The sequence below is a fragment of the Homo sapiens genome, chromosome 19, assembly GCF_000001405.40.
Source record: "Homo sapiens chromosome 19, GRCh38.p14 Primary Assembly".
Taxonomy (NCBI): domain Eukaryota; kingdom Metazoa; phylum Chordata; class Mammalia; order Primates; family Hominidae; genus Homo; species Homo sapiens.
Genome location: NC_000019.10, coordinates 21,344,254 through 21,369,291, shown reverse-complemented (window position 1 = coordinate 21,369,291; position 25,038 = coordinate 21,344,254). Strand labels below are relative to the sequence as shown.

At 42.1% G+C, this 25,038-nt stretch overlaps 1 protein-coding gene across 6 annotated transcripts in view, besides 2 other annotated features; it reads right to left on the bottom strand.

The window, feature by feature from the left end:
* ZNF738 (zinc finger protein 738) overlaps nt 1–10,292 on the bottom strand; it is a 29,583-nt gene extending 19,291 nt beyond the window's left edge. For all 6 annotated transcript variants that reach the window (NM_001355237.2, XM_047438272.1, NM_001355241.2 and 3 more), the window contains exons 1-2: nt 10,149–10,292; nt 7,434–7,526 (exon numbers count right to left, since the gene is read on the bottom strand). In NM_001355237.2, coding sequence (NP_001342166.1) covers nt 7,434–7,526; nt 10,149–10,151 — 96 coding nt within the window. In that variant the 5' untranslated portion in view covers nt 10,152–10,292. The remainder of the gene's footprint in view (nt 1–7,433; nt 7,527–10,148) is intronic.
* Nucleotides 9,931–10,230: an enhancer, noted in NCBI's record as "active region_14385". NCBI's record gives its function as "activates an Ori minimal core promoter by ATAC-STARR-seq in GM12878 lymphoblastoid cells {active_cell/tissue: GM12878}" and the evidence as "EXISTENCE:reporter gene assay evidence [ECO:0000049][PMID:35858748]".
* Nucleotides 11,022–11,579: an enhancer, noted in NCBI's record as "H3K27ac-H3K4me1 hESC enhancer chr19:21540515-21541072 (GRCh37/hg19 assembly coordinates)". NCBI's record gives its function as "activates a minimal SCP1, AML or CMV promoter by ChIP-STARR-seq in naive H9 embryonic stem cells {active_cell/tissue: H9 hESC(naive)}" and the evidence as "EXISTENCE:reporter gene assay evidence [ECO:0000049][PMID:30033119]".

Sequence of the window (25,038 nt, the reverse complement as noted above, 5' to 3'; positions counted from 1 at the left end):
AAAAAATAAAAAAAGAAAAATTAGGCGTGATGGTGTGAGCCTATAGTTCCAGTTACTTAAGGGGCTGAGGTAGGAGGATTCCTTAAACCTTGAGCCTTGGAGGTTGAGGCTGAAGTGAGCCAAGATCACACCACTGCATTCCATCCTATGTGACAGAGTGAGACACTGTCTCCAAAAATAAAATAAAGATTTAATCAAAATAAAATATGGTACATAAAAATCAAGGAAGACCATGTGGCCATATAAAAACACAAAGCCAGGCACTGTGGCTCATGCCTATAATCCCAACACTTTGGGAGGCTGACGCAGATGGATTACTTGAGATCAGGAGTTCAAGACCAGCCTGGCCAATATACTAAAACCCCGTGTCTACTAAAAATACAAAAAATCAGCTGGGCGTCGTGGCAAGTATCTGTAATCCCAGCTACTCGGGAGGCTGAGGCAGGAGAATCACTTGAACTTGGGAGGTGGAGGTTGCAGTAAGCAGAGATCACACCATTGTACTCCAGCCTGAGCAACAGAGTAAGAATTTGTCTGGCTGGGCGCTTTGGCTTCTGTCTGTAATCCCAGCACTTTGGGAGGCTGATGTGGGCAGATCACAAGGTCAGGAAATCAAGACCATCCTGAGCAACATGGTGAAACCCCATCTCTACTAAAAATACAAAAATTAGCAGGGCTTGGTGGCATGCACCTGTAGTCCCAGCTACTCGGGTGGCTGAGGCAGAATTGTTTGAACCTGGGAGGCTGAGGTTGCAGTGAGCCGAGATAGCACCATTGCACTCCAGCCTGGACAACAAGAGCAGAACTACGTCTCAAAAAAAAGAAAAAAAAAGAGTTTGTCTCAAAAAACAAGCAAACAAACAAAAAACACCAAGATTAAGTCCTTTGCAGCAATATGGATGGAGCTGGAGACCATTATTCTTAGAAAATTAACGCAAAACAGAAAACCAAATGCATGTCACCATTTATAAGGAAGAGCTAAATAATAAGAACACATGGACATAAAGAAGGAACAGTCATGGAGGCCTAGTTGAGGATGAAGGATAAAAGGACAAAGAGGATCAGAAAAAAATACCTCTTTGGTGCTATGTTTAGGAACTCACTGACAAAATAATCTACAACAAACCCCCATGACACAATTTTACCTATATAACAAACCTGCACGTGTATGCCTGAACCAAAAAGAAAAGTTAAGAAAAACCCATGCGTGCAGAAGAGTGCAATATAACTGGAAAGAACTGTTTGTTCTGCAGATAGTGGTCCCAGTGGGGCTGTACTCTGATTTATTTCTGTGTCCATGCAGGCAGATGAGATTATGAACAGGTGCTCCATAATGCTAGGTAGATGGAGAAAACAGGTTACTGCTGCAGATACAGTGGGGATATGCCAGGAGAGTTGTAGACACTTTTGCGTCTTTTTGGCAAGAAACCCTAGGATCAAATATGCTGTGGTGAAGTTCCTGATGGTGGTGCCTAGTCCTGGGAGGAGTGTGGACACATCAATGTCTAGTGGGTGTGTTTGTGAGTGGGTGGGAATCCTGTGGTGGCAGCTGTGAGACAGAGGGTCTGTCATTAGATCTCCTTTCCTCTGAGTTTTCATTCTCTCACCCTAAGAGGAGACCTGGAATCACAGGACAATGGGCAGTATGACAGTCTGTGTACAGGAGAGCAGAGCCTTCCATTTTCAGACACCTGGAGTTCCACTGCAGGCCAGGCGTCTGTGATATCTTTCTTCTGGCACCAAATCTGTAGCATTTGCTGAACATCAAGCAATTCTCTAACACCAACTCAATGTCTAACATTTGAATTCTGACACCACCCAGAGTCAGCACAGACCCTGATTCAGGGCTCAGTCTCACAACATTGTCCTCACTGCAGATGCCAGTCACAAACCCCATAGGCCCATCTATGTGTCTGAGCTACTGTTTAAAAACTGGGGACTCCTGAGCCCTTTCTCAAGTTCAATTATCTGATCGAGCTACTCACAGAACTCAGAAAAACACTGTAGTTATGTTTACCAGTTTATTATAAAATATACAACTGAGGAAAGTCAAATAGAAGAAATGTATAGGACAAAAAAAGATGTAGAAAGATGAAACACATACATAACCCTAGTAAATAGCTGTGATTAATAAAATTCTTCATCCTTTGTGTTCTTCAGGAACAGTTTATAGAAAGAAATACCCTTCCCATTATGACTTAGATGGTGCTCTCTTTCCTTATTTATTACACATCCAGACACAGAATCTGTCAGAGGTACACAGCATCCATTTTGAATAGGGGCTGAGTAAAATAAGGATGAGACCTACCAGGCTGCATTTCCAGATGGTTAGGTATTCTAAGTCACAAGATGAGATAGGAGGTCAGCACAAGATACAGGTCACAAAGATCTGGCTGATAAAATAGCTTGCAGTAAAGAAGTGGGATAAAAGCCACCAAAACCAAGATGGTGATGAGAGTGACCTCTGGTCATTCTCCGTTACCCTCCCACCAGTGCCATGAGAGGTTACAAATGCCATGGCAACATCAGGATGTTACATCGTAAAGGTCTAAAAAGGAGATATATAAATAATCCACCTTTTATTTAGCATATAATTAAAAAGTAAACATAAAAATGTGCAACCAGCCTATGGAGAAAGCCATTTCTTTTATTTCTTTACTTTCTCAATAAATTTGCTTTCACTTTATGACTTGCCCTGAATTCTTTCTTGAGCAAGATACAAGAACCCTCTCTTGGGGTATGGATCAAGACTTCTTTCTAGTAACATTTTCCTGGCAACCACAAAAGGACTATACTGAAGAGACTTCTGTCCCTCCCCCAGAAAAATTATCTGTGGATACCAATTGGCTGACTTTGAGTCCATATACCTGGGTAAAGGATGAGATTAGGTTGGAGGCACAACTTAGGAAAGTCAGAGTCTCTCCTAAGACAGCGTGGGTTAAAGGAGCCTCTAAAACAAGGCAAGGATGCTTGACTGTACTTGGATTCAAGACCCAACTTAGGAAGGTTATAGTCCTTCCTAAGATGTAGGTTAGAGACCGCTCTCAGTAAAGTCTCAACTAAGAACTGGTTTCACACCACTGGATGTTAATTGCTATTCTTTTTGGATTAATCTGTCTTGCACTGTTTGCTGGTGTCTATGAGTGACAGAATTAGGACATGGGGAGCTCTTTCCCCTCCAAAAGGGGAAACTTGAGAGCTGACAGGACTTCTGGAAACGACCCTTTTGCTACCAAGAAGCGGCTGCCTGAACTTGTAAAATATATTGCAGTTGTACTCTGTGTGTAGAAATGCAGGATAAACTTTCTGGATGTTTCCTATTCTTTTTTTTTTTTGAGATGGAGTCTCCCTCTGTCACCCAGACTAGAGTGCAGTGGCGCGATCTTGGCTCACTGCAACTTCTGCCTCCCAGGTTCAAGCGATTCTCCTGCCTCAGCCTCCTGAGTACCTGGGATTATAGGCGCGCCCTACCATGCCTGGCTAATTTTTTGTATTTTTGGTAGAGACAGGGTTTCGTCATTTGGTCAGGCTGGTCTTGAACTCCTGACCTCAAGCGATCCACCCGCCTAGGCTTCTCAGAGTGCTTGGATTACAGGCATGAGCTACCACGCCCAGCCTAGATGTTTTCTTAAATTAAACACTTACTAATCTTTGAGATAACCCCTTTTTTGAAACTCAACAGTTATGAATGGCCCTCACATACTGATGAGTTCCGATTGAGCTCCTCTCTACCTCAAATACAAAAGACTCTAATAGTTAAGCAAGAATATCATCGCCCCTATACAGCATGAAGTAGTTACAGAAGATGAATTTTCATTCCTCTGTAACCCTTATGATTAAGGGGTTTTTTTGTACAAAAGAGGGAGGAAATGTCAGGCATATTGAACCAGGGCAAATCCATTTTGAATAGGGGGTGGGTAAAATAGGGCTGAAACCTACTGGGCTGAATTCCCAGATGGTTAGGCATTCTAAGTCACAGGATAAGATAGGAAGTCAGCACAGGATACAGGTCATAAAGACCTGGCTGGCAAAACAGCTTGCAGTAAGGAGCAGGATAAAACCCAACAAAACCAAGATGGCAATGAGTGTGACCTCTGCTCATCCTCACTGCTACACTCCCACCAGTGCCATGACAGTTTACAAATGCCATGGAAACATCAGGAAGTTACCCTATATGGTCTACAATGGGAATAAATAATCCACCCCTTGTTTAGCATATAATCAAGAAATAACTGGCTGGGTGCAGTGGCTCATGCCTGTAATCCCAGCACTTTGGGAGGCCAAGGTGGGTGGATCATGAGGTCAAGAGATGGAGACCATCCTGGCCATCACGGTGAAACCCTGTCTCTACTAAAAAAAAAAAAAAAAAAAAAAAAAAATTAGCTGGGTATGGTGGTGGATGCCTGTAGTCCCAGTCACTCAGGAGGCTGAGGCAGGAGAATCACTTGAACCCAGAAGGCAGAAGTTGCCATGAGTCGAGATCATGCCACTGCACTCCAGCCTCACAACAGAGCAAGACTCCCTCTCAAAAAAAAAAAAAAAAAAAAAAGAAAGAACCATAAAATGGGCAACCAGTAGGCCTCCGGACTGCTCTGCCTATGGAGTAAGCAATTCTCTTATTTCTTTACTTTCTTAATAAACTTCCTTTCATTTTATTCAATGAACTTACCCAGAATTCTTTTCTAGAATGAAATCCAAGGACCCTCTCTTGGGGTTTGGATTGGGACCCTTTTTTGGTAAAAACTTGGCACCTTTTCTTCTTTTTCTTATTAAAAGAGTCAGCTGTATTTGTCTTCAGTGGTCTAAATAAAATTTTTCACAGGCTACTGAACTTTGAGCTACCCTCAATCTGAGCCATTATACAATTTCATTCTATATCCCTCCTAAGAACATGCTGACTTCAGGATAAAACATTCTCTGATCTGAAATCTGATTTTTTAACCCCCCGTTTGCCATTCTCCTCCATTCTTTCTAATCTTGTAGGCTCCACTCTATGAAAAAAAGCCCTTGTCTACCTAAAATTGCATTCCTTAAAATTTTTATAATTGGTATTCCTCCTGTTGCAATGCTCTTTTTGAATTCTTTTTTTTTTTTTGAGACGGATTCTCGCTCTATTGCCCAGACTAGAGTGCAGTGGCATGATCTCGGCTCACTGCAACCTCCATCTCCCGGGTTCAAACATTTCTCCTGTCTCAGGCTCCTAAGTCACTGGGGCTACAGGTGCACATCTCTACGCCTGGATTATTTTTGTATTTTTAGTAGAGACGGGGTTTCACCATATTGGTCAGGCTGGTCTCGAACTCCTGACATCAGGTGGTATGCCCGCCTCAGCCTCACAAAGTGCTGGGATTACAGACATGAGCCACCATGCCGGGCTCTAGAATTCAATTTTTTTTTTTTTTTTTTAAATGGAGTCTCACTGTCACCCAGTCTGGAGTGCAGTGGGACCGTTATCGGCTCACTGCAACCTCCGACTCCTGGGTTCAACCATTTCTCCTGTCTCAGCCTCCAGAATAGCTGGATTATAGGCACCCATCACCACGCCCAGTTAATTTTTGTATTTTTAGTAGAGATGGGGTTTCACTATATTGGTCAGGCTGGTCTCAAACTCCTGACCTCAGGTGATCCGCCCACCTTGGCCTCCCAAAGTGCAGGGATTACAGGCATGAACCACCGTGCCTGGGTCTAGAATTCAAATTTTTTAACAGAAATTAACTTTATAACATATTACAAAGTCTAGAAACTGCCTTAAAACAACTACACGGTCAGTAAGACCCTCCCAGTCCCCTTTTGTCTTAACCTTAACTCATCTGCCTGTAGCTTTCCAGGACTCTAGCTTCTCTCATCAGAAAGGCTTCTTCCATGACTGGAGTGAGCAGGCTAGAACATCTGCAGGAGAGGCACTCCAGAAAAAACTAACTGGACCTTTAATAACCTACTTTTACAGTCTCAATATAAGCCCTAGCTCTGAGTCACTGGGCTCAAGCTTTAATTTCCATGTTAGAGTTGCTCACTTGGTTTTTGAAACTAAGTTGTTTGAAAAATCCAAAAAAATTACTCAAACACAGTATTCCTATAAGGGAAGAAAATTTTAAGGTGCTTACATTTTATACCTTAATAAGAAAAGCAAAAGTATTTCTATCAGAAAATAAATGTATTATTCTATTAATTCCATTAAAAATCATGCAGCAAACATTTAGTCATATGGAAACACTTCCAGGCAATACCAAGTTTCATCTCATAAAATTTAGCATAAAACTCAGAAATCAAGATAACAGAATTTGAACAGAGATATTCGCTGTCAAAAATTTACCCTGCCAAAAAAAGGAACTGATGTTTTCATGAATCTATGTAACTCACCAATTATCTACCACATTTTCTTGTGGAAACGTATTCATTTTCTACGGCAAAAATGGAATAGACATTTTTCCTCTTCTTTTTCTTGGTAGCATTCTGAAAGCTAAGCTTGAAATTCTGTTTGAAATCACCCAGCCATTAAAAGCTACACCTGAGAAAACTTGTAAACTCACTCTGGGAAAGAAAAAGGTAAGTGAAAATTTTTAACAAATGAAATATATGATTAATTTTTTTGAATCCCACGTCTTTTATGCCCTTTGTAAATATTTTTCTACCTTTCAAGCCCTACTAATATAATGTAACCTTACAGCTAAAAAACAGGTGAAAATAAGTGAACAAATCTCTTCAAGGTGACAAATCCAGGAATGGCAGTGCTGGTTAAATAACAGATGTGTCTGACTCACGTTTCAAGTCAGGCCATTCAATCACTTGAGAGATCCTTCCACCCACTCCTGCTCACTTATGTGCTCAAGAACCACCCATTCAGGAGACACTGCACTATTTTTCGGTGACTGCCCTAGGTGCATTTTACTTTGCAAGTTCTTACACCATCTCACTGGAGTCAGTTTGTTGTTGTTTTTGTTGTTTGTCTTTCGGGATACTATTTTTTTGGTCACATATTTTTCACTGTTTTTTACTCTTTTTCTTTTACTATATTTATTTCACTATTCTTCTGCTCCCTTACAGAATCCAGGGGGCAGAAGTTATTACTGTGTTTGTTCCTCATTACCAGCATCTGATTGGCTGACAAGCAATTTGTCTCCATGAAATGGAAGCAGGGTTGGTAGAAGACAATTTATTCATTATTATTATTATTATTATTATTATTATTATTATCATTATTATTATTATTAGATGGAGTTTCACTCTTGTTGCCCAGGCTAGAGTGCAATGGCAGGATCTCGGCTCACCACAACCTCTGCCTCCCGGGATCAAGTGATTGTCCTGCCTCAGCAACCCCGAGTAGCTGGAAATTCAGGCATGCACCACCATGCTTGGCTAAGTTTTTTGTATTTTTAGTAGAGCATGTTTTTCAAGCTGGTCCCAAAGACAATTTTAACATATCAAGGGGTTACCTTTTCAAAATAAGAGTACTCCAGAAGATTCCTCTCAGCCCCAGGGTATCCACTTGCCCCCTTGACAGGATACACTCCATACCTCAGGTCGTCCTATGGGAGAAAATAAACCAGAAGCTGATATCCACTAGACACTCTAGCTGACATAACCATGGCAGATATCTCGGTTTATCCCCAGATAATACTGAAACCCAGGACCGGGAAAAAACTAAACGGTGGCTGAGGACACATCACCCCATAAATTTTCCAAAGCAGAACTCTGACCCAAAAAAATTCCGATAACATCTCTGTGCCTAGAAAGATAAAAGGAAAAGACACACAGAGATTTTTTGCAACACAGTGTCAGGGGATTATTATTTGCTTTCTTTTCATGGAAAATATTTACAAACAGATAACAAACCTTCTTAAAAGTACCATTGGTCTGGGTGTGGTGGCTCACGCCTGTAATCCCCACACTTTGGGAGGCCGAGGCGGGCGGATCACCTGAGGTCGGGAGTTCGAGACCAGCCTGACCAACATAGAGAAACCCTGTCTCTACTAAAAATAAAAAATTAGCCGGGCGTGGTGGCTGGCACATGCCTGTAATCCCAGCTACTCGGAGGCTGAGGCAGGAGAATCGCCTGAACCCGGGAGGCAGAAGTTGCGGTGAGCCGAGACCATGCCACTGTACTCCAGCCTGGGCAACAAGAGCAAAACTCCGTCTCAAAACAAAAAACAAACAAAAAAACCCCCAAAACACCATTTATGCAGGGCGCAGTGGCTCACGCCTGTAATCCCAGCACTTCGGGAGGCCAAGGCGGGCGGATCACCTGAGGTCGGGAGTTCATGACCAGCCTGACCAACATGGAGAAACCCTATCTCTTCTAAAAATACAAAATCAGCTGGGCGTGGTGGTGCATGCCTGTAAACCCAGCTACTTGGGAGGCTGAGGCATGAGAACCTCGTGAACCCGGAGGCGGAGGTTGTGGTGAGCCGAGAATGTGCCTTTGCAACAAGAGTGAAACTCCGTCTCAAAAAAAAAAGAAAAGAAAAAAGCACCATTTAATGCCTTGCCAAAAAATAATTAATTAAAATACGGTATAAAAAAGTACACTACAAAATAAGTGGCCAGGCCCGGTGGCTCACGCCTGTAATTCCAGCACTTTGGCAAGCTGATGCGGGCGGATCACCTGAGGTCAGGAGTTCGAGACCAGCCTGGCCAGCATGGTGAAACCCCCGTCTTTACAAAAACACAAAAATTAGCCAGGTATGATGGCGCGCACCTGTAATCCCAGCTACTAAGGAGGCTGAAGTGGGAGAATTGTTTAAAACCGGGAGGCGGAGGTTGAGGTGAGCCGAGATCGCGCCATTGCACTCCAGCCTGGGAGACAGAGCGAGACTCCATCTCAAAAACAAAACAAAACAAACAAAAAAACACAAATACGTGATAATGTGAATTAGGGAGGAAAAGCTGGCATTTGGGAACCCCAGAAGAAATTGGAAATTTAGTATCTTACTGCAAGCAAGAATGAGGTTGGAGTAATGAGGGATGGGGGTTAGACTTAAGACCCTGATTGGGACCCAGGTGAAAAATGCAGCAGAAAATCAGTTCCCTGTGGAGTGTGAAAATAATTAAGTGGCAGGCAATTAGACTGAGGTTTCTCTAGTCCCTGGGTTCCTACTTCAATTTAAAAAATCTAACTCAGGCGCATTATTTTTAATTACTAAATTCAGAGAAACAAAATTGAGGCTTCACCTACTATAAACTGCCAATTGAGCTCCGATTACATAACCAGGAAATTTTCACCTTTAATGTACAAATTAAAAAACCACGTAACTGTACCTAACCAATTACTAAATTTGGTTTTCTTCATCATGCATTTTACAAAAGACTTTCTTTCAAGCCTCTCCCATAGACCACAAACTAAAAACCACAGCTTGGTGCTCTACAATTCTAGAACCACTTTTTGATTAAATTATTTAATAAGTTAATTTTTTTTTTGAGACAAGAGTCTCGCTCTGTCGCCCAGGCTGGAGTGCAGTGGCACGATCTCGGCTCACTGCAAGCTCTGCCTCCTGGGTTCACGCCATTCTCCTGCCTCAGCCTCCTGAGTAGCTGGGACTACAGGCGCCCGCCACCACGCCCGGCTCATTTTTTGTATTTTTAGTAGAGACGGGGTTTCACCGTGTTAGCCAGGATGGTCTTGATCTCCTGACCTCTGATCCGCCCACCTCGGCCTTCCAAAGTGCTGGGATTACAGGCGTGAGCCACCGCGCCCAGCCTAGAACCACTCTTTGATTAAATTCTTTTAATATTTTTGCAGTGACTCCCATTAACTTTTAATAGGAGATAATAGGAACTGGGAACCCCACGGAACAAACCTCTTCCCATTCATGAACCCGCACCCCAAGTCAGGATTCTCCCCTGACGACCCTCCCACGGTCCCTGCACAATCCGGTAGAGAAGCGGCGCTGCGGGTGCAGAGATTCCCCAGAGAGGGCTCCAGGCAAGGGCACAGTCACTATGCAGGGAAGAGACAGGACGCCCGGGGGCCGGGCTGTCGGCGCAACCGCCATCTTATGGCTGAAGGCGACTGAGGCCGAGCTGGGCAAGGAGAACTCGGGGCGCAGATTGTAGAGCTGACTGCGGGGAGGCCTGAGTCTCGCCACAGCCACTTCCCACCGGTTCCAACCAGCCCTTCCCCTCTCTCGGGATGTTGGACCCCGCACTCTCACCATTTCTAGGCTTCCAGGGTGTCCCGGCGTCTTAGCTGTGGATTCCCAATACCTGCAGGTCACAGGACCAGAGGCTGGGCCTCTAGGAGCAGAGGACACAGAGCAGTGAAGACGAGACCCGGAGTTCCAGCGGCAGCCAAAGACAAAGAAGCGGACAAATCCCGCCACATCCCGGAAGCCGTCCTCTCCGCTCAAGCTGCGTGCCTGATTGGACAGTTCCCAGCCCAGCGTCGCTGATTGGATAACGTTTAAAACCCCACCCTCTCAGGCCCTGACTGACAGAAGATGTAATTAGATGCTGGGCTGAATGAAGAAAGAGTGACCGCCTAGGCTGCAGCCTTTTCAGGCAGGGCTTCCTCCTTGAGCTGAGATAGGCCCACCCCAAAGGGTATTTGCATTCAACCTTGCGTATAAGGTCATATGCATTTGTAAATACTATATCATATGGCTATACATAAATGAAAAGGATATAATAACAAATGTTTTAAAATTTCAGGGTTTTTTTACTTTCCTGGCTTACGGTCCTTTGAGCAGGCAGCCTGAGATTTTAAAAAGGAGGTAATCCTCTGAAATAAAATGTGAGCCACGTGAATTTTGAATTTTCTGGTAGCCAAACTAGAAAATTAAAAAGAAACAAGGGGCCAGGCATGGTGGCTCACGCCTGTAATCCTAGGACTTTAGGAGTACAAGGCGGGCAGATCAAGAGGTCAGGAGTTTGAGACCAGCCTGGCTAACATGGTGAAACCACGTCTCTACTAAAAATACAAAAATTAGCCGGGCGTGGTGGTGGACATCTGTAATCCCAGCTACGCAGGAGGCTGAGGCAGGAGAATTGCTTGAACCCGGGAGGCGGAGGAGGTTGCAGTGAGCAGAGATCGCGCCACTGCACTCCAGCCTGGGCGGACAGAGCGAGACTCCGTTTTGGGGGGTGAAAAATATAAAGAAACAAGAGGCCACGCGCAGTGGCTCACGCCTGTAATCCCAGCACTTTGGGAGGCCGAGGCTGGTGGATCACGAGATCAAGTGATTGAGACCCTCCTGGCAATATGGCTAAACCCTGTCTCTACTGAAAAAAATATAAAAATTAGCCAGGCGTGGTGGCGCATGCCTGTAATCCCAGCTACTGGGGAGGCTGAGGCAGGAGAATCGCTTGAACCCGGGAGGCAGAGGTTGCAGTGAGCCGAGATTGCGCCACTGCACTCCAGCCTAGTGACAGACTGCAACAACAGCAACAACAACAACAACAATAACAAGGAACAGGTTGAATTGATTGTAACAATGTAATTAACCTAATATATACAAAATATCATTTTAATGTGTGAGGAATATGTAATTATTAATGAAGTATATAAATATTTGCAACTAAATTTTTGAAAATAACTCTGTGTTTTACCTTTCTAGCATATCGCGGTTCAGACCAAGCACATTCCAGGCACCCAGGAGCCACACATGGCAGCTCTGATGTCAATGGTGTGAAGGGCCAGAGGGGAAGGAAGGGCCTCTCCCTACTAACATCTATCTTCAGTTCTGAGGTTGGAACAGATAGTGGCCATAGAAAGAGCTGAGGGCAGCAGAAATAAAATAACCACAGGTAAACCACTGCTTACCACCTGTTGCCCACCTTTCTTTTAGAGATTAGGCTGTGAACATAGGATGATGGAGCTTAGGAGAAAAAAACTCTGTGTCTTCAGTTCTGCCCACATTCTTGGACTCCAGTGTTTAGATACAGAGAAAATAGATTAAAGGCAAACTTATTTTGCTATTTGGCCTTGACCCTAATTGCGAGGCTGTGGTTATCTGTTTTCTCCTGTGGTGTGGGGACTGTGCGAATATAAACACCAATCACATGCATACATGTCTCCCAGTATTTCTGCATTACCCAACATTCTCTTTCAAGACATCCAACTTTAAATTAGGGGAAGAAATCAGTACCTAGAGGGTGCCCACTGTTAGAAGGCAACAAGTAATCAACCTGTCACTGAATCCTGGCATCCTATCTGCACTGGTGCATGTATTAGTTAGCTATTGCAGCATAACAAATCATCCAAAACTTACTAGTTTATAATTAAGATGATCAGCCATTTAGGCTGGGTGAGTGGGGCCGTTCTTCTGGTATCAGCTGAGCTCTTTCAGACTGGTATCATCAGCTGCTTGTTGACTAGCCAGCTGTACTTCTGGGGGTGATCTTCTGCTTCTGGGGCTCAACAGGGGCACCTTGCTTCTCCTCCTCATGGTATCTTATTTTTAAGCTTGCTAACATGGGCTTTATTCATGGAGATTGCAGCATTCTGAACAAAAAACAGAAGTATTCAAGACCATTTGAGCCTGGGCCCCAAACTAGCCCACTGTCATGTTCACAAGTTTCTACTGCCCTGAGCAAATAAGGCCAGCCAGATCTAGGGTTTAGAAGACAGATTCTGGATCTTGATGGAAACAGCTGTAAAAGCACCTGACAATGGGCATAGATACAAGAGGGCAGAAAAATTGCTGCCATTTTGCAATCAGTATCAGTCTACCTTTTTTGCATATGTGGTATATAGAGCTTCTCCACATCAACAAACATGTCCAAAGACCCACGAGTACTAAGTGACTGGAATAAGACTCAGGATCAACTTTATCTGACGCCAAAGCCCATGCACCTCCATAGATCATACTACTAAAGTAGCTGCCCTGCCCTAGACCCTTGAAATCCTGGAGAGTGACACTTCTACAGAATAAGTCAGATTCCTTTTAGGTTTGTGTTCATATACTACTGTTTATCACTGGAAATAATCCTCTTAAGAAATTGCAGAAGAGGCCACGTGCAGTGGCTCATGCCTGTAATCCTTGCACTTTGGGAGGCCAAGGTGGGTGGATCATGGGGTCAGGAGTTCCAGAGCAGCCTGACCAACATGGTGAAACCCTGTCTCTACTAAAAATACAAACATTAGCCAGACGTGGTGGTGTGCACCTGCAATCCCAGCTACTCAGGAGGCTGAGACAGGAGAATTACTTGAACTGGGGAGGCAGAGGTTGCAGTGAGCTGAGATCGTGCCACTGCACTCCAGCCTGGGCAACAGAGCCAGCCTCTGTATTAAAAAAAAAAAAAAATTTGCAGAAGAACACAGTGGCTCACACCTATATTTTTAGCACTTTGGGAGGCTGAGATGGGAGAATTATGTGAGCGCAGGAGTTCCAGTGCAACCTGAGTAACATAATAAGAGTTTGTTTTCATGACAAAAATGAAGAAATTAGCCAGCCATGGTGGTGCATGCCTGTAGCTGCAGCTAGTTAGGTGGCAGAGGCAGGAGGATTGCTTGAGCCTGGAAGGTCCAGGCTGCAGTGAGCCATGATTGGTTACACCATTGCAAGCAAAACTGGGTGATAGAGTGAGACCCTGTTTCAAGAAAAAAAAAAACAAAACTGGAGAAGCATTTTGAAAAGACATGGAATAATTTTTGGAAAAGATGAAGGATGAGTTTAGAAGATCAAAGCTGAGGCCGGGCGTGGTGGCTCATGCCTGTAATCGCAGCACTTTGGGAGGCCGAGGTGGGCGGATCACGAGGTCAAGAGATTGAGATCATCCTGGCCAACCTGGTGAAACCCATCTCTACTAAAAATACAAAAATTAGCTGGGCGTGGTGGCGGGCGCCTGTAGTCCCAGCTACTTAGGAGGCTGAGGCAGGAGAATCGCTTGAACCCAGGAGGCAGAGGTTGCAGTGAGCCGAGATCGTGCCACTGAACTCCAGCCTGGCAACAGAGCGAGACTCTCTCTCAAAAAAAAAAAAAAAAAAAAATCAAAGCTGAACAGCACATTATTTATTTTTCATCATAGCAAATGTTTGAAAACTTTTAAAGAAAAAAAACTTTAAGCCGGGAGAGGTGGCTCACGACTGTAATCCCAGCACTTTGGGATGCCGAGGCGGGTGGATGATCTGATGTCAGGAGTTGGAGACCAGCCTGGCCAACATGGTGAAACCCCGTCTCTAGTAAAAATACTAAAATTAGTTGGCTGGGTGTGGTGGCTCACGCCTATAATCCCAACACTTTGGGAGGCCGAGGCAGGTGGATCACTTGAGGTCAGGAGTTCAAGACCAGCCTGGCCAACATGGTGAAACCCCGTCTCTACTAAAATACAAAAAATTAGCCAGGCGTGGTGGTGGGTGCCTGTAATCCCAGCTACTCAGGAGACTGAGGCAGGAGAATCACTTGAACCCAGGAGGCGGAGGTTACAGTGGGCCAAGATCGTGCCATGGCACTCCAGCCTGGGCAACAAGAGCAAGACTCCATCTCAAGTACAAAAAAAAAAAAAAAAAAAAAATTAGCTGGGGGTTGTGGCGGGTGCCTGAAATCCGAGCTGCTCAGGAGGCCGAGGCAGGAGAATTGCTTGAACCTGGGAGGCAGAGGTTGTAGTGAGCTGAGATCGTGTCATTGCACTCCAGCCTGGGCAACAAGAGTGAGACTCCATCTCAAAAAAAAAAAAAAAAAAAAGAAAGAAAAAAATGCAATGAGATAGACAGCAACACATTTATAGTAGGGGACTTCAATACTCCACTGACAGCAGTAGACAGATAATCAAGACAGAAAGTCAACAAAGAAACAATAAACTTAAAATATACCCTAGAACAAATGGACTTAACACATATTTACAGAACATTCTACCCAACAACTGCAGAATGTGTATTTTTTATCAGCACATGAAACATTATCCAAGATAGACCATGTGATAGGCCACAAAAGAAGTCTCAATAAATTTAGGAAAATTGAAATTATATCAAGTACTCGCTCAGATCACAGTGGAATAAAACTGGAAATCAACTATGAAAGGAACCCTCAAAACTATACAAATACATGGAAATTAAATAATCTTTTCCTGAATAATCATTTGCTCAACAATAAAATCAAGACGGAAATATAAAAGCTCTTTGAGCTGAAAGATAACAGTGACAAAACTTATCAAAACTTCTGGAATACAGCAAAAGCAGTGCTAAAGGGAATGTTCATAACAATGCCTATATCAAAAAGTCTGAAAGAGCCCAAATTTAAAAATCTAAGCTCATACCTCTAGAATCTAGAGAAACAAAAACAAACTAAACCCAAACCCAGCAGAAAAATAAATCACAAAGATCAGTGCAGAACTAAATGAAATTGAAACAAAAATTTCAAAAGATAAATGAAAAAAGTTCATTCTTTGATAATATAAATGAAATTGATAGGCCATTAGCGAGATTAACCAAGGAAAGGAGAGAAGATTCAAATAAACTCAATTTGAAACAAAACAGGATATATTACAAGCAATCCCACGGAAACACAGAACATTATTTAAGGCTACTATGAATATTATGAAATGCACAAACTAGAAAACCTAGAAGAGGTGAATACATTTCTGGAAATATACAATTCTCCTGGAGTAAACCAGGAAGAAATAGAAACTCTGAGCAGATCAATAACAAGTAGCAAGATTGAAATAATTGCCAACAAAAAATACTCTGGGACCAAATGGAGTCACAGCTGAATTTTACCTGCCATTTAAACAAGAATTGGTACCAATTCTACTTAAACTATTCAAAAAAATAGAGTAGGAAAGAATTATTTCTAAATCATTCCATGAAGCCAATATCACCCTAATACCAAAACCAGGAAAAAACATAACAAGAAAAGAAAACTACACACCAATATTCCTGATGATCATAGATGTAAAAATTCTTAACAAAATACTAGCCAACAAAATACAATAGCATATTAAAAAGATAATACACAATGATACAATGCATCTCCTACCAGAGATGGATGAATGGTTTAATGTACATAAGTCAATAAATGTGATACACCACATAAACTGAATTAAAAACAAAAATTGTATGACCATCTCAATAGATACAGAAAAAGCTTTTGACAAAATTCAGCATCCCTTAATGATTAAAACCCTCAGCAAAATCAGCATAGAGGAGACATACCTTAAGGGAATAAAAGTCATCTATGACAAACCCACAGCCAGCAATATACTGAACAAGGAAAAGCTGAAAGCATTCCCCCTGAGAACTGAAACAAGAAAAGGATGGCCACTCTCACCACTTCTATCCAACATAGTACAGGATGTCTTAGCCAGAACATTCAGATGAGACAAAGAAATAAAGGACATCCAAATTGGTAAAGAGGAAGTGAAGATGTTATTGTTCACTGATGATAAGATCATATACCTAGAAAACCCTAAAGACTCACCCGAAAAGCTTTTAGATGTGACAAATAAATACAGTAACGTTTCAGGATACAAAGTCAATGTACACAAATTGGTAGCACTGCTATACACCAACAGCCACCAAGCTGAGAATCAAATTAAGAACACAAAGTCTTTAACAACAGCTGCAAAAAATAAAATAAAATAATCAGAAATATACCTAACCGTGGCAGGGCATGGTGGCTCATGCCTGTAATCCCAGCACTTTGGGAGGCCTAGGCAGGCAGATAAACTGAGGTCGGGAGTTCAAGACCAGCCTGACCAAGATGGAGAAACCTCGTCTCTTTTAAAAATACAAAATTAGCTGGGCATGGTGGCACATGCCTGTAATCTCAGCTACTTGGGAGGCTGAGGCAGGAGAGTCGCTTGAACCTGGGAGGTGGAGATCGGGGTGATCCGAGATCATGCCATTGCACTCCAGCCTAGGCAACGAGAGCGAAACTCCATCTCAAAAAAAAAATAATAATAATAATAAATAAATAAATATACCTAACCGAGGAAGTGAAAAGTCTCTAAAAGAAAATCTACAAAACACTACTGAAAGAAATCACAGATGACACAAACAAATGGAAAAACATCTGACTTTCATGGATGGGTAGAGTAAATACTTTAAAAATGACCAACCTACCAAAAGCAATCTACACATTCAAGGCAATTCCCATCAGAATAACATCATTCTTCACAGAACTTGAAAAAACAATTATAAAATTCTTATGGAACCAAAGAAAAGCACGCATAGCCAAAGTAAAACTAAGCAAAACAAACAAACAAACAAAAATCTAGAAGCATCACAATACCCAACTTAAAACTGTACTACAAGGCTGTAGCTACCAAAACATCATGGTACTGTTATAAAAATAGGCACATAGAGCAATGGAACAGAATAACAAACCCAGAAATAAAGCCAAATACTAACAGCCAGCTGATCTTTGACAAAGTAAACAAAAGCACAAAGTGGGAAATGAATGCCCTATTCAACAAATAATGCTGGGATAATTGGCAAGGTACATGTAGAAGAATAAAACTGGATCTTCATCTCTCATAGAAAAATCAACTCAAGATGAATTAAAGACTTAAATCTAAGACCTGTAACTAACAATTCTAGAAGATAACATCAGAAAAACTTTTGTAGACATTGGCTTAGGCAAAGACTTCATGACCAAGAACCCAAAAGCAAATACAATTAAGTGAAGATAAATAAATGGGACTTTGATTTGTAATGTAAATCAAAAGCACGATGCAATACCACCTTACTCCTGTAAGAGTAGCCAGATTATGCCATTGCACTCCAGGGCAACAAGAGTGAAACCTCATGTCAAAAAAAAGAATGGCCATAATTTTTTATTTTTTGAGATGGAGTCTCGCTCTGTCACCCAGGCTGGAGTGCAGTGGCGCGATCTCGGTTCATTGCAAGCTCTGTCTCCCGGGTTCATGCTATTCTCCTGCCTCAGCCTCCCGAGTAGCTGGGACTACAGGTGCCCACCACAACGCCTGGCTAATTTTTTTTGTTTTTTTATTTTTAGTAGAGACAGGGTTTCACCGTGTTAGCCAGGATGGTCTTGATCTCCTGACCTCGTGATCCACCTGCCTCGGCCTTCCAAAGTGCTGAGATTACAGGTGTGAGCCACCGTGCCCAGCCTTTTCTTTCTTTCTTTCTTTCTTTTTTTTTTTGGGACTTGAGTCTTGCTCTATTGCTCAGGCTGGAGTGCAGTACGATCTCGGCTCACTGCAATCTCCGCCTCCCAGGTTCAAGCAATTCTCATGCCTCAGCCTCCCGAATAGCTGGGATTACAGGCACCTACCACCACACCTGGCTAATTTTCATATATTTTTAGAGATGGAGTTTCACCATGTTGGCCAGGCTGGTCTTGAACTCCTGACCTCAATTGATCCACCTACCTCAGCCTCCCAAAGTGCTGGGATTACAAGCATGAGCCATTGTGCCCTGCCAAGAATGGCCATAATTAAAACAAAACAAAAAAATAGACATTGGCATGGATGTGGTTAAAAAAAAAACCACTTTTACACTTTTGATGTGAATGTAAACCAGTGCAACCACTATAAAAAAACAGTATGGAGATTCTTAAAAGAACTAAACATAGAACTAATATTTTATTCAGCAGTCCCACTACTGAGTATCTATACACAGAAAAAGAAGTCACATAAAAATGAAACTTGTGGGCCTGGCACGGTGGCTCACGCCTGTAACCACAGCACTTTGGGAGGCCAAGGTGGGTGGGTCTCCTGAGGTTGGGAGTTAGAGACCAGCCTGACCAACATGGAGAAACCCTATCTCTATTAAAAATAAAAAATTAGCCAGGCATGGTGGCACATGCCTGTAATCCTAGGTACTCGGGAGGCTGAGGCAGGAGAATTGCTTGAGCTGGTGAGGCGGAGGTTGCAGTAAACCAAGATCGCGCCATTGCACTCCAGCCTGAGCAACAAGAGCAAAACTGTATCTCAAAAAAAAACAACAACAACAAAATGAAACTTATAACACACATATTTATAGCAGCACAATTGGCAATTGCAAAGATATGGAACCAGCCTAAATGCCCATCAACCAATGAGTAAACAATGAAAATGTGGTATACATAATACTACTCAGCCATAGAAAGAAACAACATAATGGCATTTGCAGCAACATGGATGGAGTTGGAAACCATTATTCCAAGTGAAGTAACTCAGGAATAGAAAACCAAACATTGTATGTTCTCACTTATAAGTGAGAGCTAAGCTATGAGGCTGTAAAGACATATGAATTATATAATGGACTCTAGAGACTTGAGGAGAAGGATGGGAGAGGGTGAGGAATAAAAGACTACACATTGAATACAATGTACACTGCTCAGGTGATGAGTGCACCAAAATTTCAGAAATCACCAGCAAACACCACCTGTACCCCAATAACTATTAAAATAATAAGAGCAAAGAAACCCATAAGTTTAAGTTTATATACATTAGCATTTTTTTGTTTAAGAAAGTGTCTCACTCTGTGACTTTGGAGGGAGTGTAGTGGCTCCATCATGGTTCACTGTAGCCTCAAACTCCTAGGCTCAGGCAATCCTCCTACCTTAGCCTCCTGAATAGCTTGTACTCCAGGTGGAGGGCTCTATGCCCAACTAATTTTTGTATCTTTTGTAGACGTGGGTTTCACTATGTTGCCCAGGTTGGTCTCAAACTTCTGGGCTTAAACAGTCTTCATGTCTTGACCTCCCACAGTGCTGGGATTACAAGTGTGAGACACCATGATTTACTGGAATCTTATTTTTATATGATGTTTAAAAAACTAAATAGATTTAGATCTGTTAGTTAACAGAAAATTTGAGAAAATCGTCTTTTTTAAAAAATATAAAATTGTTTTTGTCACAAATACTGATATGAAACTGTTCAAAATTACTTCCTTGAGATTTCACTAAAAATTTGGTTGTTCAGAGTTAATGTAATTAACGTATGTAATTAAAACTACTAGATGTAAGAAAAACAACTCTGCATAGAATGTATAGACAAGTAAAAACTACTTTTTGATAAAAAAATTGGGAAAGTTTCCTCTAGTTTGTGTTGTGGGAAGTCAGAGACCCTGAACAGAGGGACCAGCTGGAACTGAGGCAGAAGAACATAAATTGTTAAGATTTCATGGACATTTGTCAGTTCCCAAAATTAATATTTTTATAATTTCTTATGCCTGTCTTTACTGCAATCTCTGAACATAAATTCTGAAGATTTCATGGACATTTATCACTTCCCTAATAATGCTCTTATAATTTCTTATGCCTGTCTTTACTTTAATCTCTTAATCCTGTTATCTTCATAAGCTGAGAATGTACGTCACCTCAGGACCACTATTGTACAAATTGATTGTAAAATATGTGTGTTTGAACAATATGAAATCAGTGCACCCTGAAAAAGAACAGAATAACAGCAATTTTCAGGGAACAAGGGAAGATAAACATAAGGTCTGACTGCCTGTGGGGTTGGGCAGAATACAGTCATATTTTTCTTCTTGCAGAGAGCCTATAGACAGATGTGTGAATAGGAGAAGTATCACTGAATTATTTTCCCAGCAAGGAATATTAATAATTGATAACCCTGGGGAAGGAATGCCTTCCTGGGGGTAGGTCTATAGAAGGCCAGTCTGGGAGTGTCTGTCTTATGTGGTTGAGATAAGGACGGAAATATGCCCCGTTCTCCTGCAGTACCCTCAGGCTTACTAGGATTGGGAAATTCCAGCCTGCTAAATTCTAGTTAGACCGGTTCTCTGCTCTTGAACCCTGTTTCCTGTTAAGATGTTTATCAAGACAATGTGTGCACGGTGGGGCATAGACCTTCATCAGGAATTCTAATTTGCCTTGCCTTGTGATCTTTATTGCCCTTTGAAGTATGTGATCCTTATGACCTACTCCCTGTTTGTACACCCTCTCCCCTTTTAAAATCCCTAATAAAAACTTGCTGGTTTTGCAGCTCGAGGTCGCCATCACAGTCCTACCAATATGTCATGACACCCCCAGAGGCTCAGCTGTAAAATTTCTCTCCTTGTACTCTTTCTGTTTATTTCTCAGACTGGCTGACACTTAAGGAAAATAGAAAAGAACATACATGGAAATATTGGGGGCTGGTTCCCCCGATAAGTTTGAAATTAGAGATTGTTGAAAAATGAAAAAATAAAAAGAATAGAGACAGAATATAAAAAGTTAAAGAATTAACTATAAAAGATTGTAAAACATGTATGGAAATCTAGAGTGGTCAAAAGTGACAAATTTGGTGGATTTATTTATAAAGTTTTATTAAAATGAGCTTTAGTATAGATAATACACTAATACAAAACTAGAAATTGATTTTCTCTGGAACAAAAGTCTTATGTATTAATAATATGACAAAGTAAAATATTTTTGTTCACTTTTTGAACAAATTTGAAAACAAAGAAAGTAGAGATAGAATTTTTTCATGCTGTCTTTCTCAGGTGTTTTAATTGGAAAACTCAATCTCTTATATCAAGTGGTAATGGTTTTGTTTTTTAAAATCCTTTTATTATCACATTTTTAAGTGAATGACTATTATTTTATGGTGCCATGTGATCCTATTTTGGTAAAGCATTTTAACCCTTTGACTTTTTTTTTTTTTTTTTTTTGAGACTGAGTCTCGCTCTGTCACCCAGGCTGGAGTGCAGTGGCATGATCTCAGGTCGCTGCAACCTATGCCTCCTGGATTCAAGCAATTCCCCTGCCTCAGCCTCCTGAGTAGCTGGGATTACAGGTGCCTGTCACCACGCCTGGCTAAGTTTTGTATTTTTAGTAGAGATGGGGTTTCACCATCTTGGCCAGGCTGGTCTTGAACTCCTGACATCATGATCCACCCACCTCAGCCTCCCAAACTGCTGGGATTACAGGCATGAGTCACCATGCCTGGCAACCCTTTGACATATTTGACAAGCTTCACAAAATCACATTTCAGCTAAAAAATTGTCTTTTTTTTAATCCCAAAGTTTTGGATGTTACAGAGGGCCAACGCAGCATCCCAAAGAGTGAAGAACAGAATTATCTGATATGGTAAATTAAATGGAAAACATTGTTAAATTAAAAATGTTTGATCAAACTTTTATTTTAATAAATGTTATTAATATTTAGTCCAAAGGCTGGGTGTGGTGGCTCAAGCCTGTAATCCCAGTACTTTGGGAGGCTGAGGCAGGTGGATCATGAGGTCAGGAGATAGAGACCATTCTGGCCAATATGGTGAAACCCTGTCTCTACTAAAATACAAAAAATTAGCTGAGTATGTTGATGCATGCCTGCAGTCCCTGCTACTCGGGAGGCTGAGGCAGAAGAATCATTGGAACCCAGGAGGTGGAGGTTGCAGTGAGCCACTGCACTCCAGCCTGGTGACAGAGCAAAACTCCGTCTCAAAAATAAAAACCAAAAGGCCAGGCGCGGTGGCTCACATCTGTAATCCCAGCACTTTGGGAGGCCAAGGCAGGTGGATCACGAGGTCAGGAGATTGAGAACATCCTGGCTAACATGGTGAAACCCCATCTCTACTAAAAATACAAAATATTAGCTGGGTGCGGTGGCAGGCACCTGTAGTCCCAGCTACTTGGGAGGCTGAGGCAGGAGAATGGCGTGAACCTGGGAGGTGGAGCTTTCAGTGAGCCGAGATTACGCCACTGCACTCTAGACTGGGTGACAGAACCAAACTCTGTCTCTAAAAACAAAACAAAACAAACAAACAAACAAAAAAATGTATTCCAAAATTGTATACATCCTCCCTCCCTCCCTCCCTACCCCCTTTCTCTCTTTCTTTCTTTCTTTTTTTGTCTTGCTCTGTCACCCAGGCTGGAGTGAAATGGTGCAATCTTGGCTCACTGTAACCTCTGTATCCTGGGTTCAGGCGATTCCCCTGCCTCAGCCTCCCAAGTAGCTAGGACTACAGGTGCATGCTACCATGCCTACCTATTTTTTTTTTGTATTTTTGGTAGAGATGTGGTTTCACCATGTTGGCCAGGATGGTCTTGATCTCCTGACCTCATGATCCACCAACCTTGACCTCCCAAAGTGCTGGGATTAGAGGCATGAGCCACCACACCTGGCCTACAATTTCTAAAAATCTAATATACCTGAGTATATGCTATTAGTCATAATTATGGCTATTATGATAAATTATTGTAGGCCACAGATATAATGAACTTCTTTTCATTTGTTCCTTTATAACCATTTCAAGTCATTTCTACAGTTAACAGGTTAATTCTGATATAGTTTCTAAAAACTTCAAAAGCATGCAAAATTCTAGAGTATTGTGTCTTTAAGAAGGTTTATGAAAAGATAAAAATGGCCCAGAAAAATTGAGTACAGGTTTCTGATAATTTGAGGATCATATTGTTTGGACTGGGTAAGGATTATGTGAGTTCTAATGAAGAGACTGACTCATAAAATTTATAACCCAGGCAAAATAAATATTAATTAAATATTTTGAAAATACTCTGTCTCATATTTATGGTAAATCAGCTAGTACTGAATTTTTCAGATATGTCATTTGAATAAACCCTGTGGTTTAAGTCAATTACCTATGACAGTTATCAGTGCAATGCAACTAAATTGGAGAAACAAAGCCTAGTATTTAAGAGGAAATAAATTTTATGTTAAGTGTGGACTCATGGAAAACCTAGAAAGCCAACAGCCCCTTGTTTATTCCTGAGTTCTTATAGCTTCCGTTATTGAAAGTGCTGTATTCCATTACATATCACAGATGAGATAAAATAATCTAAATTAAATATAAATTAGGCTGGGCATGGTGGCTCACGCCTGTAATCCCAGCACTTTGCAAGGCCAAGGTGGGCAGATCACCTGAGGTTAGGAGTTTGAGACCAGCCTGGCAAACATGGTGAAACCACATGTCTACTAAAAATACAAAAGTTAGTCAGGCATGGTGGTGGGCACCTATAATCCCAGCTACTCAGGATGCTGAAGGAGGAGAATCACTTGAACCTGGGAGGCGGAAGTTGCAGTGAGCCGAGATCACACCATTGCACTCCAGCCTGGGTGACAAGAGTGAAACTCCATCTCAAAAAGAAAACATAAATAAATAAATATAGGGCCGGGTGCAGTGGCTCATGCCTGTAATCCCAGCACTTTGGGAGGCCAAGGCATGTTGGGAGCAGGCCCCCCAAAATCTGGCCATATGCTGGCCCCAAAACTGGCCATAACCAAAATCTCTGCAGCAAAATAACATGTTCATAATGGCCCTAACGCCCACACTGGAAGGTTGTGGGTTTGCCGGAATGAGGGCAAGGAACACCTGGCCCACCCAGGGTGGAAAACTGCTTAAAGGCATTCTTAAGCCACAAACAATAGCATGAGTGATCTATGCCTTAAGGATATGCTCCTGCTGCAGTTAACTAGCCCAACCTGTTCCTTTAATTTGGCCCATCCCTTCATTTTCCATAAGGGATATTTTTAGTTAATTTAATATCTATAGAAACAATGCTAATGACTGGTTTGCTGTTAATAAATATGTGGTAAATCTCTGTTTGGGGCTCTCAGCAGGCTGTGAGACCCCTGATTTCCCACTTCATACCTCTGTATTTCTGTGCATGTGTCTTTAATTCCTCTAGCACCACTGGCTTAGGGTCTCCCCCACCCAGCTGGTCTCGGCAAGTGGCATCCATCATTGGGGCTCGAATCCAGGTCAAAGGGTCACTGGAGCAATCTTTGGAATGGAGAACTAACTGGAGGACACCTGAGTACTCTTAAAGCAATCCCCGTGGTGAGTAAGAGGGGGAGCTCAGAAGCATCAGGGTAAAAATAGGACAGGTGTGGGGTCTGGTTCGTTTCACTTTGGAACTTTTTCACACTAATGAGGAGGAACGAGAGTACAGCAAAGTAACAGAAGAGGTTACAGAGCATGTTTATTTACCAGCTAAAGAGAAAGCGGCAAAGGAAGGAGAGGTTCATCCCTACCCTTCTGCACACCCTCCTTATTATTTTGAAGAAAAAGACCCTCCAGATCTTTCTTTTCCAGAGGACACTGGATGAAAAGTAGTTGCCCCAGTGACTGTTCAAACAGCGCCTCGAGTGACCACTCTTAGTTCTATTCAGGCAGGAATTCAGCAAGCTAGACGAGAGGTTGATTTAGAGGCTTGGCAGTTCCCTGTTAGAATACACCCCCCAGATCAACAGGGAAATA